This window comes from Homo sapiens, chromosome 7 (genome assembly GCF_000001405.40).
Source record: "Homo sapiens chromosome 7, GRCh38.p14 Primary Assembly".
In the NCBI taxonomy this organism is placed as follows: domain Eukaryota; kingdom Metazoa; phylum Chordata; class Mammalia; order Primates; family Hominidae; genus Homo; species Homo sapiens.
In genome coordinates, this window is record NC_000007.14 from 132,112,771 (window position 1) to 132,115,253 (window position 2,483).

The following is a 2,483-nucleotide window of genomic DNA, read 5'->3' on the forward strand; positions in this document are numbered from 1 at the left end:
GAGCTCGGGTGGGGCCTGTCATAAGTCAGGGGCTGCTGCTGCCTGCACTTGGTAATTTTTAGAGACTTGGAGCAAAGCAGCCTAATTGTAGTTTCCATGGTTACCAGCCACCACTGAGGAGAACGTGAGCAGATCTTAAAGGGAAAATCCGTGCACAGGCAGAAGTCAGGAAGCAGGGAGGGAGGGGAGGAAGAGACAGGTCCCAGAGAGGGTCTGGGCTACAGGGTGGCCTCTACTCACTTAGCTGCAGTCCTAGTCATTGTCTCTATCCCAGGGCAGAGGTCCTCAGGCTGCAGTAATGGTGCGTCACCATAGTAGCCTCCCATGAAGTGCACCTAGCAGGCTGAGAAGGGGCCTTCGGCACAGTTGGTAGGATGATTACCATTCAGAGGTCCCACTCTCTGGCCCCATTCCAGTGCGAGCTCCAAGAATTTTCACTTCTTTCTCCTTCCATGAAACCCCTGACTATGGGCCTCCACCCAAAGCAAAGCCAGAGAAAAGGGGAAAATGGCAGGAAAGTGTCTATACCAGCCCTACCACCATTGATCCTCAAGCTTGGGGCTTGGATGCACCCAGCAAGCCTGTGTGTCTCTTTCATCTATTGAGGCCAATGCTGTGGACCACCCAGCTGCCTCACGTGATCACTCATTGGCTCTCTCCTTCATGCTTTATTCAACAAATACTTCTGCTTGGGGCAAGATAATACAGCAGAGCCCAACCAGGCAACATCCCCACAATTGTGGAGCTTATTATGGAGCTTATTATATTCCAATGCGAGAGACTGGCATTAAAAGCGTAGACGGAAGCTATAATGTCAGGTAATAAACGTTATGTTCCATTGGCCTCAGGGTGGTGTGTTGGGCCAGGCGGGGCCTTGTTGAGGGTGACCACAGTCACACATGGTCTTTGGCATGTGAAGGGCAGAAATATGGCCACGAGAAGGAACCTGGGCTTGGCAATACAGCTCACAGGATCTGCAGAGAGCGCCACTTAAGTGGAGCCCGGCAAATGCTTGTCAACTAATGACGCAGAAATCAAAGCTGCGTTAATCCCTCTTGGCTCATATCTGCATGTCCCAGAACCCCCAGAGAGGCCCTCCATATCCACTTGGTTTCAGGCATGACTTGGGTTTCCACAGCCATCTCAAAAGTGGTGTGATGGGTGATTCCACCAGGGGGGCCACCCTGGGGTTCAGCCACTAGACGACGCTGTTGCAGCTCTTTAGCTCTGAAGAAGGAAACCAGAGACCAGGAGAAAGAACGATGCGGCTTTATGAAAATATTTGGATTATGTGAAATAAGAAGCAGTCCCACCTCAGAATTATGGGCTCATAAATCACTCTGAGGAGAAAAGGGGTCGGGGGACCGGGGAGACTTGGGACATGAGTTTACGATCTCTCCAGAAGCCCTTGATGGAATTACAGCCTCATAACTCACTGGGGCCTGCTCCTTCCTCCAGCCTGGCCTCAGCTGTCATGCAGGGCCCCCAGGGAAGGCCAATCTGGGCGCCAGCAATGAGAGGCTGACCTGGCAGAGGCCTCCGGGGAGCATGAAGAGGGAGTCCGAGGCGATGTTTTTGAGCTGGGTACAGGCAGCCAGGCCTCAGTGTTAGGGATTCTGTGAGGCTTGTCAGAGAGACAAGGAGCTGAGGCTGAAGAGGTGAGCTGAGCTGCTGGACACAAACACCAGACAGAAGGCTTGTGTGAGCGTCACATTCCACGGGGTGCTGTGGAACTGCACAGCAAGGACACACTGGACCCCTCCTGGGTGGGGTGGGGTAGCAGGAAGACACCTGGCTACTGCTTCCTTATCAGGGCCGTGTCTCTAGTTTGCCGCTTTACAAAATGGTGACCACCAGCCTCTCCTCAGGGAGCTGACAGATACTCTCGAGGCCTCAGAAGAGCTCACAGCCTGAGGGCAAACCATTCGCTGAAGGAGCTGGGGTCTTCCTGCAGGTGGGGAAGATACGCCCGTGGCCAGAGGAGAGGTTTGCTACCGATATGCCCACCTCCCAGCTAGCCCTAGCTGTGGCCTCTGGCATGTCCAGGATGAAGAAAAGGCCACAGGAAGTGGGTTTCTAATGGCAAGTCAATGAGGCGCTGTTTAAAAGAGCTGCCTTTTGTGAGGAGCGCTGACTGTGAGTCGGGCATGGTGCACTTCATCATGCTGAATCCCCACAACTTGCTCACAAATTATTTCCATTTCACAGATAGGGGAGTGAGGCAAAGCGATCAAAATAAACTTCTCCAGTCACACACACATGCTAAGTACCGTACTGGAGATTTAAATCCAGATCCCTCTGTATCTACAGTGCATCCCACAAGCATGGCTGCCTGGTGCCCCATCCTGCGCATGGCAGTCCCTAAATCTGCTGGCTGAATCCCATCAATTTCTATTCTTCTCTCCCTGCTGTAGCTTGCAGTTGCAACCCAATGCCTACGCTAGTCACTTTCTCTACAATGTCCTTTGCTATTGTCAGAGGTG

General features: G+C 52.7%; 1 annotated feature.

Annotated features, from left to right (window-relative positions):
• Window positions 1,225-1,725: an enhancer, noted in NCBI's record as "H3K4me1 hESC enhancer chr7:131798754-131799254 (GRCh37/hg19 assembly coordinates)". NCBI's record gives its function as "activates a minimal SCP1, AML or CMV promoter by ChIP-STARR-seq in primed H9 embryonic stem cells {active_cell/tissue: H9 hESC(primed)}" and the evidence as "EXISTENCE:reporter gene assay evidence [ECO:0000049][PMID:30033119]".